Raw genomic sequence first — 18,147 nt, 5'->3', positions numbered from 1 at the left:
TGTTGACAAAAACTGTACATTCTGTTATTGTTATTCTTGCAATTTATGATTCCTCTTCTCTATTTTGCATACTTAACGATGCTAACCAGGCCCGGTTATTTAGTGGGTGGTAAACGTGAAAGAAAAGTTTTACAAATTTTTTTTACTTGTTTTGGGAAACTCAGTTTTAATGTCGTCTTAATTAATTTTTTGACAGACTCTGGAAGAGAACTTGTCATTACAGACCCAGTTATCAAGAACCGAGAGCTCTTCATTTCTGATTACGTTGACACTTACCATGCTGCTGCCCTTAGGTAAGTACTGGAGACGTGCTCTTCCATGTGAAGGAGGAGTCACTGAGTGCAGGAGGTGGAGAGTAATTTCTCCTGATCTTTTAGTAGTCACTGTATTAATCAGACTCCTCTTTTGGCCTCAGTGAACATGCCAGTGTCCGCTCTGGATTGTTGAGATTGCAGAGGTTCTCCGTGTCTTCACTAATCTAGCTTTACTTCTCTCTCTCTTTTTTTTTTTTGATAATTTACTTTTTAATGCTGTTTCTATATTATTGTATCTTCATTTCCTTGGAAATTATTATCCTGGTATTGTTTGCTGAAGTATGTGGGTGAAATGTTCCGATGGGCCAGGTGTGGTGGCTCACATCTGTAATCCTGGCATTTTGGGAAGCTGAGGTGGGAAAAAGTGTTCTGATGGTCTGCAGTTTACTTTCTAAAGATTTAATTCCTGCCACTAGAAAAGACAGAGAAATGGATGAAGCAGATATGGCAGCGTGTAATTACTTGAGAACCCAGGCAAAATTTATAGAGATTTTCATTGAACTATTCTTCCATTTTCTGTATGTCTGAAAAATTTCCTACTATACAGCTTCATTGGCAGGGGGAGGAGATGGGTAGAAAGATATTGAAGATTTCATTCTGAGGCAGAAGGTAACATTCCAGCCAGTCATAATGTCTTCAGAAATTATGTCAAAAAAATGACCATGACATTTGCATCTTTGGGTATTTTCTGTCTCTTTCAAGAAAAGGATGCCCATAATGGCTCATTTTGTGTGTGTATGGCTGACTTTGTGCCTTTTAAGTGGTATAGGAAGTAAGACTACTGATATTCTTAAAACCCTTTCCTCACTGGAAATAAAGTGGTGAAAGACTACTTTTTTTTTGTTAAGTACTGTAATATGGTTTTAACAAAATACTAGGATTTTGGTAGCTTTTATCTTAAAACTACAATGAGTTACAATAATTTCTCCATTCTGATGCTCAGATGGTATTCAGGAAAACCACCTGGAGTCTTTTTTGCAAAGCTACATAGCTAAAGTCAGTTATTTCAAGGTAAATTAGTAGCAACTTTAGGGCAGGCTTTGGCAAGCTTTTCGGGTCAGCTGATGTTTCACATGGTATCTGTTGCAGTGACTCAGCTCAGCCATTGTGGCATAAAAGCAATAGACAACATGGAAATAAATGAAGTGGCTGGGCTGCAGTAAAACTTGATGGATATTGAAATTTGAGTTTCATTTAATTTTCATGTGTCAGGAAATATTCTTCTTTTGCTTTCTTTTTCAGCCATTTAAAAATGGGAAAACTCTTCTCTCAGGCCACAGGAAGCAGGCGGTGTGCCAGATATGGCTTTTCTGGCCATAGTTTGCCAACTCTGCTGTGGGGTATGGCATGGATGTAGTTAGGTTTGACTTCTTACAGGAATTTAGATGAATTTAGAGAGTTTCTCAGTGTTTTATAAACTTCTTGTGAACTTCCACAAGCTTTGTGTGACTTTTAAGATTGGCTTTCCAAGCTTAAGCTCACTTGCTGAACAAAGGAAGTTAATGCAGGGTTGATTATATTGATGGAACAGTTAAATTGTTACCTGGGACCAGTGACTTAATCCTGGAATATTGTTAGCTGGGACCAGTGACTTAATCCTGGAATATTGTTAGCTGGGACTGGTGACTTAATCCTGGAATATTGTTAGCTGGGACCGGTGACTTAATCCTGGAATATTGTTACCTGGGACCGGTGACTTAATCCTGGAATATTGTTAGCTGGGACCGATGACTTAATCCTGGAATATTTCTTGTCTTTTTTTTTTTTTTTTTTTTGAGACAGGATCTCGCTCTGTTGTCCAGCCTGGAGTGCAGTGGTGAGATTATGGCTCACTGCAGCCTCAAACTCCTGGGCTCAGGCAATCCTACCTCCCCAAGTAGCTGGGACTACAGGTGTGCACCACCACACCTGGCTAATTTTTGTATTTTTCATAGAGATGAGCTTTTACCATCTTGCCCAGGCTGGTCTTGAACTCCTAAACTTAAGCAATCCACCCACTTTGACCTCCCAAAGTGCTGGGATTGCAAGTGTGAACCACCGCACTCAGCCAAATCCTGGAATACTTCTTACACTGGTTTGCATACTCTTTCCTTCCTGTTTCCGTCTTGTCTCACGGGTTGAGGGAAAAGATTTTAATCGATTTAGAGTTTCAGTTGAACAAATATGTGAGATATGTAACTGTATTCAACATGTTTTGACATAAATGCTTAAAATCAACATATTTGAGTACTTATCATTGGTATTGAGATTTGTAGAATCTTTTTTTCTGAGACGGGGTGTTGCTCTGTCACCCAGGCTGGAGCTCAGTGGCTTGATCTTGGCTCACTTTACTGCAACCTCCGCCTCCTGGGTTCAAGTGATTCATTCTCCTACCTCAGTCTCCCGAGTAGCTGGGACTACAGGCATGTGCCACGATGCCCAGCTAATTTTTGTATTTTTAGTAGAGACAGGGTTTCACCATCTTGGCCAGGCTGGTCTTGAACTCCTGACCTCAAGTGATCACCCACCTCAGCCTCCCAAAGTGCTGGGATTACAGGCATGAGCCACCACGTCTGGCCCATTTTTATCTTTAGCATTTTTAGAAGAACAAGTTATCCTAAATAATTCCATCTGATTTCCATGAATTTACTGTAGCTAAGTTTACAATCAGATGTTTCTTGGAGATGTGTAAATGTGTAAGTCACTGTCCTTTCACTGGCCACCACAGCTGGAGTGCTACAGTGGTAATACTTTATCTTCTTTTCACTGGGTATATAATTATAATCCTCATTAATTAGTTTTTTTTTCTCCTGTGGTGTTTTCTTTAAAGTGGTCATAAAAAGTGGTAGCTGCTTTATAAAACTTTTACCTTGAATTTGATTTTGTAAGTGTCAAATACAACATCCTTTTGTGACTTGGATTTTTTTCAAAGACATCAGATGACAGGTGGTTGTTTGGTCACTGAACAAGCTGGCCTAATGGTGCAGTGTCGCGTGAGTGTGTGGATGTGCTGATCCAGTGGTGCAGTGTCACGTGTGTGTGGACACGCTGGCTTTGTGGTGCAGTGTCTCGTGCATGTGGACGCGCTGGCCTAATGGTGCAATTTTACGTGTGTGTGTGGATGTGCTGGCCTAGTGGTGCAATTTTGCATGAGTGTGTGGACGTGCCGGCCTAGTAGTGTAGTGTCACGTGTGTGTGGACGCACTGGCTTAATGGTGCAGTGTCTCATATGCATGTGGACATGCTGGCCTAATGGTGCAATTTTGCACGTGTGTGTGGACGCACTGGCCTAGTGGTGTGTCGCACACGCATGTGTGGATGCACTGGCCTACTTGTGTGGTGTCACGATTGTTTGTGGATGTACTGGCCTAGTGGTGCTGTGTTGCACGCGTATATGTGGACACACTGGCCTACTGGTGTGTCACGTGTGTGTGGACATGCTGGCCTAGTGGTGCAGTGTTGCACACATGTGTGTGGACGAGCTGGCCTACTGGTGTGGTGTCATGAGTGTTTGTGGACTTGCTGGCCTAGTGGTGTGGTGTCACGTGTGTGTGAACGCACTGGCCTAGTGGTGCAGTTTTGTGTGTGTGTGGACGTGCTGGCCCAGTGGTGCAGGGTCACACGTGTGTGTGGACGCACTTCCCTAATGGTGCAGGGTCGCGTTGCTGTCACTTAGTGATCCGGCCTCGCTCTTGGCAGCAGCGCTCACTGTGAAAGAAGCTTTGCCTGTCCCATTACTCCCATAAAACAGAATGGGATGGCAGTGCCCCCCAGCAGTCTCTGTTTGTTCTCTTTCTCTTCACGAAGGTAGATTAGCTTAAAAAATGTTTGGGGTGTATTTGGTGGGGGATGGTTAAAGTTAAGCTTTACCTTTTTTTTCCAATTTTCTTCTCATAGTTTATTCACAGAAATAATTTATTCTTTCTCCATAGTTATAAACCAGTACTACTAAAAATAAATTCAATTTTGAGAGAGATACAAATAAAATAGTCTGTGGGCACATGAAAAGGGATCAAACAAATGTAATGAAAAAAACCATGGGGAACAAAAAAGAAAAAAGAAAAAGACTGATCATGTTAGTGCTTAGCACCATTCTTCTTGAAGATCAAAGGGCTCGGTTGTGTGGTTTCATCCGGTCACAGTAACTCTGAGGGGGCTCTTGCCATTCCATTCACTCAGGAGGAAACTGATGTATAAGGTTTGCTTTCAAGCTGGTGCTAGAGTTGGGTTATAAAGGAGGAGAGAGAGCTTTATCCTTTAGCCATGGTGAATCAAAAGGAAAACAAAATGCCCTGTAGTTTCTTTGTAAATTGTGAGATTATAGCTTTTTCCTACCAGAGTTTCTTCCTATAAGAAAATCTGAGCCCTTCGCAGTTGTAGAAATGTGTGTTGAAGTTCAGCATTACTGCATTGCTGTTAGTTTTGAATTCTTGACCTTAGCTATCCCTTATCTCTACCTTTCAAGGTAAGTTTCTACAGCTGCTGATCTTATTTCATCACACTTTATCCATAACCACCATAGAGTAAAGTTAGCATTTTGAATATTTTTTGAGTTCTGTTTATTCCCGGGTAAGAATTTTTGGCTGGCATTGTGGTATAATAGACTGAAGTTAGAGGACTTGTGTTTGAGTCCTGGCTCTGCTGTAGCCTTGTGGCCAGTGTCACGTTTTTTAACGTTTGAGCTAACCTTTGACAAACTTGTTCAAGGTCACATGACTAATGACAGAATCCTGAACCAAACACACACATCTGGTTCCACATCCAGTATGGTAAGGAGTGTGAAAGTCCCTCAAAGAGCATCTCAGGCCCTAGTAACATGTGTAGTACACTCCATAGCTCATTGAATTTCTGCTGAGTTCTTAAAAGTATAAGTGGAAGAAAAGAAAAAGTGAAATTAAGTGTAATTTTGTACTGAGTTAATGATGGTGTAATCACTCAGCATACACTTATTTTACTATTTCTCTGTGGCCTGTTGGCGGAGGAGGGATTAGATATTTAGATTCCTTCAGGTATATGGAGAAGAGTTCAGCTTAGGGAGCTATCTCAACACACTCCAAGAACGAGCAGATAAACTTGTAACTTGTAATTTGTTTTCTGTGCTACTTTTTCTCCCCTAAGGATAATGTTTTATTAAGGATCCAAGGATCTGGAGTGATTGCTTTGTGATTGGACTGAGGACATGTGACCTGGGGAACATTCTTGGGTTTATTGTGTACTCGCATCAGTGCATTCTCCAGTATTGATTGTGGAGGGCAGCACAGGAGATCGTAAGTGTCTTGCTGACTGAGGACTGTTTTCCAGCTTTCTGATTACCTGCTTCCTATTTGGAGGAGTCACTTGGGGAAAGAAATATCCTACTGCAGGTCAGGTTATAGGCTGTCATTTTACCCAGGGGCTCCTATTATAGGAAGATGCTTTAGGATGAATTTTCTGGAAGACCAGGGCCAAGGAGCCCTAAATTAGCTGTTTGAGGCTTCCAGTCTGTTTCTTTTCATTATAAATTAATTTATCTCCCTACTTTGTTATGAGCAACTAGGTTCATGTATATGTTTAGGGCTTGAAACAGATTAGTCACATCTGTGGACAGTTTCCCAACCATTCCTTAAAACATTTAAAAATCCTTTAGTGGCCGGGCACGGTGGCTCACGCCTGTAATCCCAGCACTTTGGGAGGCCAAGGTGGGCAGATCACCTGAGGTCAGGAGTTCAAGACCAGCCTGGCCAACATGGCAAAACCCCGTCTCTACTAAAAATACAAAAAATTAGCCGAGTGTGGTGGCTGGTGCCTGTAGTCCCAGGTACTAGGGAGACTGAGGCAGGAGAATCGCTTTAACCTGGGAGGCAGAGGTTGCAGTGAGCCAAGATCGTGCCACTGCACTCCAGCCTGGGTGACAGAGCGAGACTCTGTCTCAAAAAAAACAAAAAACAACAACAACAACAACAACAAAAAACACCCTTTAGCTCCTGCAAGTTCTGTAAGGAGTTTCATGGTGTCTCAGAGCTCTTAGTTTTGCAGTTTAAGAATCCTTATCTGGCTTTAATCTACAGTTGTTTTTATATGTGAAATAACTTTGACCTACAGCATTTTTATTGTTTTGTCTATACATGCTTAGTACTTCATTAGACATCATAACCTGTCAATTGCTTTATTTATTCATTCATCATTTAACACTTTTTATTAATCTACTAGTAGATGAAGGGCTCTATATTTGGTGATGGGAACCTACCCAGTAAGATATTCCGTCTGCCCTTGAGTACTTCATAGTATTTGAAAAACTTTCTTTTATTTGGAGCTATTTTTAGACACACAGCAAAGTTACAAGTACTCAGGTTCAATATATCCCTCCCCTAACCTCCCACAATGTGAACTTCTTCTACAACTATAGTACAGTTATCAGAACCAGGGAATTAACATTGATACAATAGCATTAGACTAAAGATTCTCTTTGATTTTCAGCAATGTCCTCGTTGTTGTTCTAGGATCTTATATGGGATCCCACATTGCATTTAATTATTTCTCCTTAGTCTCCTGCAGTGTGTAATGGTTCTCCAGTCTTTCCTTACCATTCATGACCTTCCTTGGTATTGTAAATATTATTGATCAATTGTTTTGTCAAATGTCCCTCAATTTGGCTTTTCTGAAGTTAGGCATTTTGGGCAAGAACCACAGAAATTACATGTTTCTGAGTGCATCTTATCATGGGCTTCATGAGGTTGATAATGTCTAATTACTGGTGACATTGACCTTGTCCACTTGATGAATGTGGCTTCTGCCAGGTTTCTTCACTGTAAAGCAGATTTTCCCCTGTGCTTAATTAACCTGGGAGATACTTTGACACTCTGCAAATCATTTATCTCCTTAAATTTTCACCCAGTGATTTTAAGCACCTATCAGTGGATTTCACCTGTAAAAGTTACTTTTGTGAAGCTTGCCTATGGTGGTTTTTCATTTTTTTTTCTTTTCTTCTACACTTATTAATTGGAATTCCACTGTAGTAAAGAAATCTCCCTTTTATCCCATAAATCTATTTGAGTATTTACATCAGCATGAACTTACGGATATTTATTTTGTTTTGTTATAATTTATTATTTTTTGTTTTATTGCCCAGCTTTGGCCATTAGGAGCTACTTCAGATTGGCCCCTGCACTTTATCAGCAAACTTCTGTATTTTTTTGAGCACTTTCTTATTTCTAGCTCCACAAGATGTTCTCAGGCTCGTTTTTTATTTTCTAACTTCCAGCGCTGGAATTAGCCATTCTGTGAGGAACCGGGGTTCCCTTTAGTGGAGAGCAGTGTTTAGAAACCAAGATCTGGGTATTAGGCATGTGTGTTACTACTGGATATCATTGTTTCTAGATCCAGTTAGCAGGCAGAGCTAGGATGTGTATGTATACCAGCCTGTGCCTATTAACTTCCCCTAACTCCAGACTTGTAAGGTTATATTAATTTCAATTCCAGTCCAACACTAGAAGATTTTATTTTATTTTTTTTGAGACAGAGTCTTGCTCTGTTGCCCAGGCTGGAGTGCAGTGGCGTGATCTCAGCTCACTGCAACCTCTGCCTCCTGGGTTCATGCAATTCTCTGCTTCAGCCTCCCGAGTGGCTGAGATTACAGGCACCCACCCCCACACCTGGCCAATTTTTTTGTATTTTTAGTAGAGATGGGGTTTCACCATCTTGGCCAGGTTGGTCTTGAGCTCCTGACCTCCGGATCCACCCGCCTCAGCCTCCCGAGGTGCTGGGATTACAGGCGTGAGCCACTGGGCCTGGCCTGAAGATTTTATTCTTCACTTTCCGTTATTTATAACTGCTTTCTCCAACACAGAAGAAACTCAGTTCTCATTGTCTAAAATATACTTACTTGTTTTTGTTTAATTCTCAAATGCATACAACTTAGTTTCAGAATTTGTAACCCACGTCTTGGTGAGAAACCCGTTTATTGACTCTTTTTGTTTTCGGTCTTATAGTGCCAAATACTGCTTTTCCTCTTACTTAGGTCAGTTCTGTTCTTTCTTACCTCCTTATGTGCATTTGTTTATTTGTAATACATTTAGGTTCATTTGTTGCTGTTTACATCCTATTTTTGGTTTCTCCTTGTTGACCTGGACTGTTTATTTTATGGGTGTGTGAGAGCATGTGGACTATTGCTGTGGTTCTAAGAGTCAGGGTTATAAGAAGATACTCTTCAACCCTGCCACCATGTTCCCATCCTCTACTTCTTTCCCTCTTCGCTCCCACCTTGCTGCTCTAGGTTACTGATCATTTTACTTGCTGGATCATCCTTCCAGCATTTTCTTTTCACAAATCAGCAGATACATGCCTCTTTTCTTAAAACCCCGTCTTTCTTATATGAAGGGTAGAATACTGTAGATGGTCTTTTGTACTTTGCTCTTTTCACTTGATGACAGTATATTGTGGGAATTGCTCTTATCAGTTCATAGAGGACTTTCTCATTCTCTTTTACTTCCTTATGTTGATATACTGTAGTTGATATAACTGCTCTCTTGTGCATGAGCATTTACGTTGTTCCTAGGATTTTGCAATTATAAATGATGCTGCAATGAATATCTTTGTGCATATATATTTTCTTATCATTGGGAACGTCAGGGTGCATTTATAATAGTGGGATTGCTGGGTTGAAAGGTTTATGCCTATGCGGTTTGTTACATATTACCAAATTTCCCTTCAGCTGGCATGTACCAATTTGTGTTCCTTCTGATAAGTATGAAGCAGCCTGTTTTCCTAATAGAATGTTTTGTCTTTTTAAATTTTTACAAGTCTGATAGGTGAGAAGTGTTATCTCCATGTTTTTATTTTATTTCACTAACAATGAGTTTGAACATTTTTTCATATGTTTGAAGGATATTTTTGTCTCTTTTTTGTAAATTGTCTGTTTATGTATTTTCTATTGGGTTTTCTTTTTGTTTTACTTTTAAAAAGTGCTTTATACAACCGTGGTACATGGCAATTGTTGCAAATATTTTTCTCCCACTTTTGTCAGTTTTCATTTAATTTTATTTGTTGTATTTTTTATTGTGTAAAATGTATTTTTATCTAATCAAATTTATCAGTCTTTTATTGCCTCTGGATTTTGAGTCATAGTTAGAAAGCCTTTCCCTACACCATATTTAAAAAATAATTCTACCCAGTTGTTCTAGGATTACTTATTAAAATACCTATGTTGATTGTAGTGGTTTGAGATGTCACCATTGTCTTGCTTTCCATATGTATTTTGTACTTGCTTTTTTGTTTTGTTGTTCTATTGTCTATGTGTCAGCACTACACTCTGAATTACAGAGGCTTTATAGTATGTTTTAATATATGTTCCCCTCTTTTTTAGTTATTTGTTTTTCCATGTGAAGCTTAATATTTTGTTTTTTTTTTTTTAAAAAAAAAGCTTGTTGGTATTTGTACTGGGATTGTATTGGATTTATTAATTAATCTGTGGAGAAATGCCAGTTTGAGTTTTCCTATCTAAGAACATGGATGTTTTACCATTGTTCATATCCCCTTTTTTGTCTTTCAGGAGTGTTTAAAAATCTTCCTTGTTACAGATTTTGTACAGTTTTGGACTTTTTCCCCCTAAGCTAATAATCTTAATTTTTTTTGTTTTTTTTTTTTGTTTTGTTTTGAGACGAAGTCTTGCTCTGTCGCCCATCCTTGTAGTGGCGCCATCTTGGCTCACTGCAACCTCTGCTTCCCAGGTTCAAACGATTCTCCTGCCTCAGCCTCCAAAGTAGCTGGCATTACAGACGCCCACCACCATGCACAGCTAATCTTTGTATTTTTAGTAGAGACAAGGTTTCACTATGTTGGCCAGGCTGGTCTTGAACTCCTGACCTCTTGTGATCTGCCCACCTCGACCTCCCAAAGTGCTGGAATTACAGGTGTAAGCCACCACACCTGGCCTACAGACATACTTTGAACTCTATCCTGTAATAATAAAGAATACACATTGATTTGTGTATCTTGCCACCTTCTCAAAAATTGGTCATATATTAGATCACAGAAAAAAAATCATTCCGATTAAAATGCAATAAAATTGTAGTTTACTAAGGAAAACAAAGAACAGAAGACCCTTTCACCTGGAAATTTAAAACTTCCTGTTAAGCAACTCCTGGGCAAAAGGGGAAGTACAAACTAAAATTATATATATATATTTTTATTTATTTTTATTTTTATTTATTTATTTTTGTCCAGGCATGGTGGCCCACACCTGTAGTCCCAACATTTTGAGAGGCCAAGCTGGGCAGATTGCTTGAGCCCAGGAGTCTGAGACCAGCCTGGGCAGTATGGTGAAACCCCAGCTCTACAAAAAATTGTTGGGTGTGGTGGCACGCACCTGTAGTCCCAGCTACCGGGAAGGCTGAGCTGGAAGAATCACGTGAGCCTGGGAAGTTGAGTCTTCAGTGAGCTGAGATCAAACCGCTGCACTTCAGCCCAAGTGACAGAGGGAGACCCTATCTCAAAAAAAAAAAAAAAAAAAAAAAAAGACTGGGTATGGTAGCTTGCACCTGTAATCCCAGCACTTTGGGAGGCTGAGGCAGGCAGATCACGAGGTCAGGAGATCAAGACAATCCTGGCCAACACAGTGAAACCTCGTCTCTACTAAAAATATAAAAAGTTAGCCGGGTGTGGTGGCACGCGTCTGTAATCCCAGCTACTCGGGAGGCTGAAGCAGGAGAATTGCTTGAACCCGGGAGGCGGAGGTTGCAGTGAGTCGAGATCACGCCATTGCACTCCAGTCTGGGTGTCAGAGTGAGACTCTGTCTCAAAAAAAAAAAAAAAAGAATTTTTTATTAATAATTTATTTTTTATTATTAATAATTTTTTATTCTTAAGACTCCATCTTAATAATGATAATAATAGCTTTCAACAGATTTGCTACTGTAAACATTCTGTGTGTGCTCGTGCACGTTGTCCTGAGTCTTTGGAGTTTGCGCATGCCTGGGGATACGGGAAGACCTTCCCAGTTATTGGTAATTTTAAGAGAGTGAATTTCTAGGCCACAGTTTTCATTTGTATTGTCTCCTTACTTAAGAGGGGCTCTCTTGTCTCTTCTTCATCCTTTTCATATAGCCACCTCCTCTTGGTAGCCAGAAGACCCTTCGGATGATGCCCCAGGTGTAAAACTCTCTGGGGCCCGCCCCACTCGGAAGGATTACTGAAATGAGTCATTTCCGGGACGCCTTTTTTACTGTTGAATGAAAGGATGCTAACACATGGGGCTTCCCTGTCTTTAGTCATATTTCTGTTAACAGTGAAGCATTGCTTTAGATACAGAGTATACAAGACTTTAGGAGGCTCTGGAACTGGTTATTTCAGCAAGGTGGATGTGATGGCAATTTTCTCTTAACGGTCCCTCCTCATCTATTCTGTAAACAATGTCAAATAATGTCCTACTTTTGACAGAGATCATGGTGAGAAGAGTGCTCTGATAAAAAACACTGAATACTTAAAATCATACCCATACTTCTGCACACATATACACACATTTTTAAAGGTAAACACTGTTCATCACGAGTTGATTTGTAAAATACTTCAAATGGGTGCCACCCAGTCAGAGCCAATCCTGGTGGCCTTACCTGGTTATGGAAACCCTTTCTTCAGCTCTGCTCAATACTCAGTGTTTGAGGGCTGGCTAACTGGCAAGATTATGAATCATTACCATATGGCTACAGCTATATGGTAATGATTCTCATTGTTTTACTTTCCTCTAGTAGTTTTTTAATATACAGTACAATGTAGATTTTAAGTGTACATTTTCAGAAATGTGTTTGACCCTAAACAAGACCTGGCATATTCCCCTCATCTCAGGAAGTTCCCTCAAGATCCTTCCCTCTAAAAACTTCCCACCCAAAATCACCAACTGTTCAGGTTTCTCTCACTATAAATTATTTTTTCCTCTTCTAAAGCTCATATAAGTGGAATCATGCAGTGTATACTGTTTTTGTGTCTGGCTTCTTATACTCAACATTTAATTTTTGAGATTTGTCCATGGTATTTTATGTATCACTAGATCTTTGTGTAGTATTTTATTGTACATATATACGATTTGTTTATTTCCCTGTTGCTGCACATTTGGGTTGTTCCTAGGCTATTATGAATAAACCTTTCATGAATAATAGCAACAATAAAAATGTACAAAGAAGGAAATAATAAAGATAAAAACAAATTTGGGAGGAAGAAAACTTAGATGTAGTTAACCAAATTCTTTTTGTTTTTTAAAAATTTAATACCTTGTTTAAAAAATACATTATGACCAGCTGGGATTTATTCCAGGAATGCAAGGTTGGTTCAGGTTTTCACTCTATTGATAGCATATATCAAACTATTAACTCTAAAGGAGGAAACCAGTCAATTATTTCCAATACTATGATTATGGTTTGATTGTCTGTAAAGCTAGTGTCATATTTAATAGGAACACATGAGAGACATTTCCACTGACATCAGGAACTAGCCAAGGATGTTCACTCTTTCCACATTGTATTAGAGGTACAGTGCAATTAGAAGCATAAGAAAGGATAAAAAAGTGAAATGTTTAAATGTCAGTACCTTTCACATATACAAACAGAATCAAATAGAGAAAGGGCTTGATGGTAGAGAAAAATCCCATTTACGACAACTTCATAATCATTTATCAGATGAAATGCTTCTATTCCTGTTGCTTTTGGCTTTCTGTAAGCCAGTAGTTTCTTCCCTCACAGGAGACATTTGGCAAGTCTTGAGACATTTTTTGTTGTGAGGAAGAAATGTGTATGGGTGCTTCTAGGTAGAGGCCAAGGATGCTCTTAAATATCCTACAATGTACAGGACAGCCTCTGACAATAAATAATTATTTAGTACAAACTGTCATTAGTGCCAAGATTGATAAACCCTGCCCTAAACATACCTGATTTCTAGTGGTTGTGTTTAGAGTTAAGGGTTTTCTTTACCTTTAATTGATACATTAATTACTCCAGTTTAAGAGTGAAATAACGAACAATAATAAAAGAAGAATCAATTTCCTTTAGTAATGTACAATAATAGGAATAACTTACTTTACATAGCATTGTGTAGTAGAGTTTTGTAGGCTTTGTCTTTATAAGTGCAGTAGGTGTTATCTCTATTTTACTGCTAAAGGAACCTATTTCTTCTGGCTTTCGGGGATTAAATCACCTTGTATGGATGAGTGGTTTCAAAGTGAGCTAGTTGTTCATTTGTAAAAAAGATCATACCTGCATTTTCTTTCCCAGAAGCTTATTTTAGTTCTAGTTAAATACTAGAAGAGGCAGTTCTGGGCCTGGGAAGTTGATGCTTAGTCTGTATTTTTCCTTGAATTGGATCTTACTATCTACAAATAGTAGGTATGAATACTATAGCACTTCTAATAGAACTTTCTGCTGTGATGGAAATGTCTTATAAATCTGTGTTGTTCACTATGGTAGCTAGTAGCCATACGTAGCTATTTAGATTTACATAAGATCAAATAATTTATTTGTTAAGATCAAATAAAATTTTAAATTCAGTTCTCAGTTTTATCAGTGTTGTTTGAAGTGCTCAGTAACCCTGGAATACTTTCTATTCTGTAGCTTCTATTCTATAGAACTATAGATACTTTCTAATCTATAGTTGCCAAAGGGACTTTATATCAACAGCATTGTTATTTAATTTAAAAAATGGAGATGGGGGCTGGGTGCAGTGGTTCACACCTATAATCCCAGTGCTTTGGGAGGCCAGGGCAGGAGGATCACTTGAAGCCAGGAGTTTGAGACCAGCCTGGGCAACCTAGTGAGACTCCCATCTACAAAAAATTTTAAAATTAACCAGGTGTGGTGAGATGGGGTCTCAACTAATGTTGCCCAAGTTTTTCTTGAATTCCTGGCCTCAAATAATCCTCCTGTCGTAGCCTCCCAAAGTGCTGGGATTACAGGTGTGAAGTCACTGTGCCTGGCTGACCCTGCTTTGGTTACAGGTACTTAAGCCCTTAAGGTAAAGAAGAACCTTGCTTTTTAATTTCTTGGTAGGAAGTGAATGAATGAACCCACGCTGATAACCCCTCAGCCAGCTTCTCTTCCTAACACTGTGGCCATTAGCTGGTGTGTATGTTGTTACCGTGCATACTCATGGAGTTCTTATCACAACAGATAGCCTGCTCAAGCAGTGGGAGGCCACGTCCTGGAAGTATGCTGCACGGCTTTTGATATGAAATGGGAACTTTTGGTCCTCCATTTCCATCTAACCTCACTGTAGCCTTTGGCTTCCACTTGGCATTAAAGTGACCAGGAGGGAGTTAGAGTTCTTAAGCCTCCCCTGCCTCTTTGGGAATCCTGGAGTGAGTGTATGTGTGCGTGTGTGTGTTTGGATTTGGAAGTTAGGCCTCACCACGTGATATAATGCTTCTGGCATTTACGTTGATACTTGGTGCATGGAAACATTGCTTAAGCCGTTTTGGAGTAAGTATTGTAGGGTTTTCAACTACAGGTTGGTTTAACTTTAGGTGGTAAATGAACCTGAAAACTTTACTCCACTTTATTTTAGTATTTCTATGGGAAAGTGATTTCTAACCTTATAGCCATTTAAAGTTACCCCAAAATTTGAAAACTCCTTGTATATTGGGGCCCATGTTTATGCAAAAAAGTTAAAATTTCTCTAGGTTTTAATTTCCAAGTAACTTTATTTGTTGCACATTGCAGGAGAAGAAAAATGTTTATTGGCCAGAAGCTGTATTCCAAAGACATGTCAAATATTCCACATTTTAGCTTTAAACAGTTAAACTTTCTGCCTATCATAATATAGTAGGAAGAAAGGCTCATTTTTTTTTATGATTTAGAAAGGCTTTAAACTGAGTTTTTCTTATATTCACAATGGTTTTAATTTTTCTCCATTTCTACTTTGTTTAATATTCTTTCTCATAGTCCTGTCTCCAGTTTATCTTTGTTGTTTTAATTAATTTTACTTTATTAGTAAAATGGTGATATAAAAGCAGTCAGATTACACAGGTGTACAGTGAAGCAGTCATGAAACAGCTGAATAGGTGAAATAAAGTGTGGTGTTTGTAGCCGATTCTCCATGCACATGGACTTAGTTCAGTGCTTCCTCCACCCTTCCCCCTCCAGTTTTGGTTAGCAAAAGCAGTTGAGGGTATTACTAATTATTTTTTTCTCTTTTTCCCAGAGGGAAGTGTAACATCTCCCATTTTTCTGACATATTTGCTGCTAGAGAGTTTAAAGCCCGAGTGGATTCATTTTTCTACATATTAGGATATAACCCTGAGACAAGGTAAGTGAGTCACTTGTGTCCATTCATTGAGAACTCTTTTCCTTTTCTCATTTGTGTGTGTGTGTATGTGTGTGTGTGTGTAGTTTATGCTTCTGGACATACACTAGTAACATACTTAAAAAAAATGACTCCAGAGTCCTTCAGTAAACTTCTTTGGGAGGAGTTGTAATTAATGTCTTTGACATCTAAAGTGGCTTTTTGTTTGCTCTTTACTTTTATTCAGAAAAAGAAAAATGAGAAAATTTGGGTTGAAAGAAGGTGGGATAAAGATATACTTTTAGTTTATCTGTATTTTGAATTAAGTATTAAGAATTGGTAGATTATTTCCCTGATTCACATTCTGTCAAGCCTTCCATAATACCATATTGAAAAAGACTAAGTAATTTTGGAAAGTTTGTTGGTTACTCATTTGTTTTGTTCACTCTTGGTAATAAAACTCCAGGAACACACACTGAAATATCTTTAGTAAGACTACTAGTATGAGTCAGACACATCAAGTTCTCAAAACATCTTGGTAAGATCTATGTAACAGTTTGAATTACTATTTTTTTAAAATGAGAAGCAATAGGGTCAGAGTAATTTAACAATTTTTATGTCTGTCATAGATGCTACTTTAATGTAGCACGTGGAAGAATTTTTATGAGTGTATATATTCATACTTGCCCTGTATTGATCATGTGACTGCATATTTTATTAAGGATTTTAAAAACAGGATGTTAGCCACTGATCAAGTAATATATGCTCTGGACACCCAAGACATGTTTATACATGTGAAGATTTAGAAGGAAATAAAACATCCCCGGCCAGGTGCAGTGGCTCATGCCTGTAATCCTAGAACCTTAGGAGGCCACAGTGGGAGGATTGCTTGAGCGCTTGAGCCCAGGAGTTTGAGACCAGCCTAGCTAGGCAAAATGGTGAGACCTCTTCTCTCAACAAAATATAAAATAAAAATTAACTGGACGTGGTGGGCTGCACCTGTGGTCCCAGGTACTCAGGAAGCTGAGGCAGGAGGATTGCTTGAGCCTGGGAAGTCAAGGCTGTAGTGAGCTGCGTTGGCACCACTGCACTCTCCAGCCTGGGCGACAGAGGGACACCCTGTCTTTTAAAAGAATAAAAAATAAATAAATAAATAAATAATAAATAATACTTGGCTCAAAGAAGTTAGCAAAAGAACTACATTAAGTGTAAAGGCAAAATGGGTATCATTTTATTGAGAACATTTTTCTAGAGGACTTTCAGAAACCGTATGTAAAACTTAGAATGTTGTTGAGTAGTCAACGTAGGGGTAGAAGGGAACGTGTTTTTTGTTGTGGTTTTATGAAGCTGCCCACAGCTCTCTTGGGGCTCGCATTAGTGTATCTGTCTGTCTGTCTCCCTCTCTTCCTCTCAATATTGGATGCTATTTTCTAGACAGCATCAGAAGCTAGATTCTAGATAGTGCTTGATGTATGGATAGTAATATAATGCTCATCAAAGAGTACCTTTTCTCCTTTAGAAAACTGTGATGCTTGGCCAGGTGTAGGTGGGTCACGCCTGTAATCCCAGCACTTTGGAGGCCAAGGCGGGCGGATCGTGAGGTCAGGAGTTTAAGACCAGCCTGGCCAACGTGGTGAAACCCTATTTCTACTAAAAATACAAAAATTAGCTGGGCATGGTGGCACACACCTTTAATCCCAGCTTCTCTGGAGGCTGAGGCAGGAGAATTGCTTTAACCCGGGAGGCGGAGGTTGCAGTAAGCCGAGATTGCCCCACTGCACTTCAGCCTGGGCAACAGAGCAAGACTCCATCTCGAGAAAAAAAGAAAAAAAAAAGGAAAAGAAAGAAAACTATGATGGTTGAGTTTGTTTGTTTGTTTTTTCAAAAGTATGCCGTGTTCCAATGATAAAGAAGCTGGTCAGTGGTAATATTTCTTAAGCATCTGATATTTTGAAATGTTTATTTTACATATGCATTTATTGGCTACCTTCTCATGTCTTCCTGTTGCCCAGGTAAATTGTAAAATGCTTGAACTTGGATTTCTCTCTAGATACAAAGGAATTGGATGTTATTTTAGTGATATTGTGCTTATTTAATCACTTGATAGTTTTCCTGTTGCACAAGTTATATTAATTAACTAAAGTAGCTTTTGTCTTTTAACTCTTCAACTCTCAGGTTTGTAACAACTAACCAAAATTATTTTTTACAAATGTTAGTTATACATGTTTTGCTGAATGCTTATTAAAAGTAATATGTAACTTACCTTTGTAAACCAGGCACTCACTCAAGTTCTTTTCTTATTTTTCATTGTGTGCTGCTGACAGTCTTTCAGGGCAATACATCCCATCGGGTTTGTTTTAAAATATGGATGCAATAAGGAACACAGAGACATGATGATAGCAGCACACTTACAGGATCTGCATCCTGAATCACTTCCCTTAGTGACCTTTCTAGTCACCACTGATTTTCTTCTACACTTGTGTTCCCTATGTCCACCTTCTGCTTTGTGTGTTTTAAGTGCTTGAGTAGTGTTGGATGACTTGAACTGAACAAATACTTAAGTGCCCATTTATAAGTAAACTTTGAGGCAAATCTCAAACTTCTCACAGTTGAAGTG

The 18,147-nt window shown here is 39.0% G+C and overlaps 1 protein-coding gene across 2 annotated transcripts in view; it reads left to right on the top strand.

Moving 5' to 3' along the window:
- RERE (arginine-glutamic acid dipeptide repeats) overlaps nucleotides 1–18,147 on the top strand; it is a 465,237-nt gene that overhangs the window by 260,873 nt on the left and 186,217 nt on the right. For both annotated transcript variants that reach the window (NM_001042681.2, NM_012102.4), the window contains 2 exons: nucleotides 197–293; nucleotides 15,450–15,554. In NM_001042681.2, the coding sequence (NP_001036146.1) occupies nucleotides 197–293; nucleotides 15,450–15,554 (202 nt within the window). The remainder of the gene's footprint in view (nucleotides 1–196; nucleotides 294–15,449; nucleotides 15,555–18,147) is intronic.

This window comes from Homo sapiens, chromosome 1 (genome assembly GCF_000001405.40).
Source record: "Homo sapiens chromosome 1, GRCh38.p14 Primary Assembly".
Taxonomy (NCBI): Eukaryota; Metazoa; Chordata; class Mammalia; order Primates; family Hominidae; genus Homo; species Homo sapiens.
The sequence above is the reverse complement of the archived record's forward strand: the minus strand, read 5'-3'. Positions and strand labels throughout refer to the sequence as shown.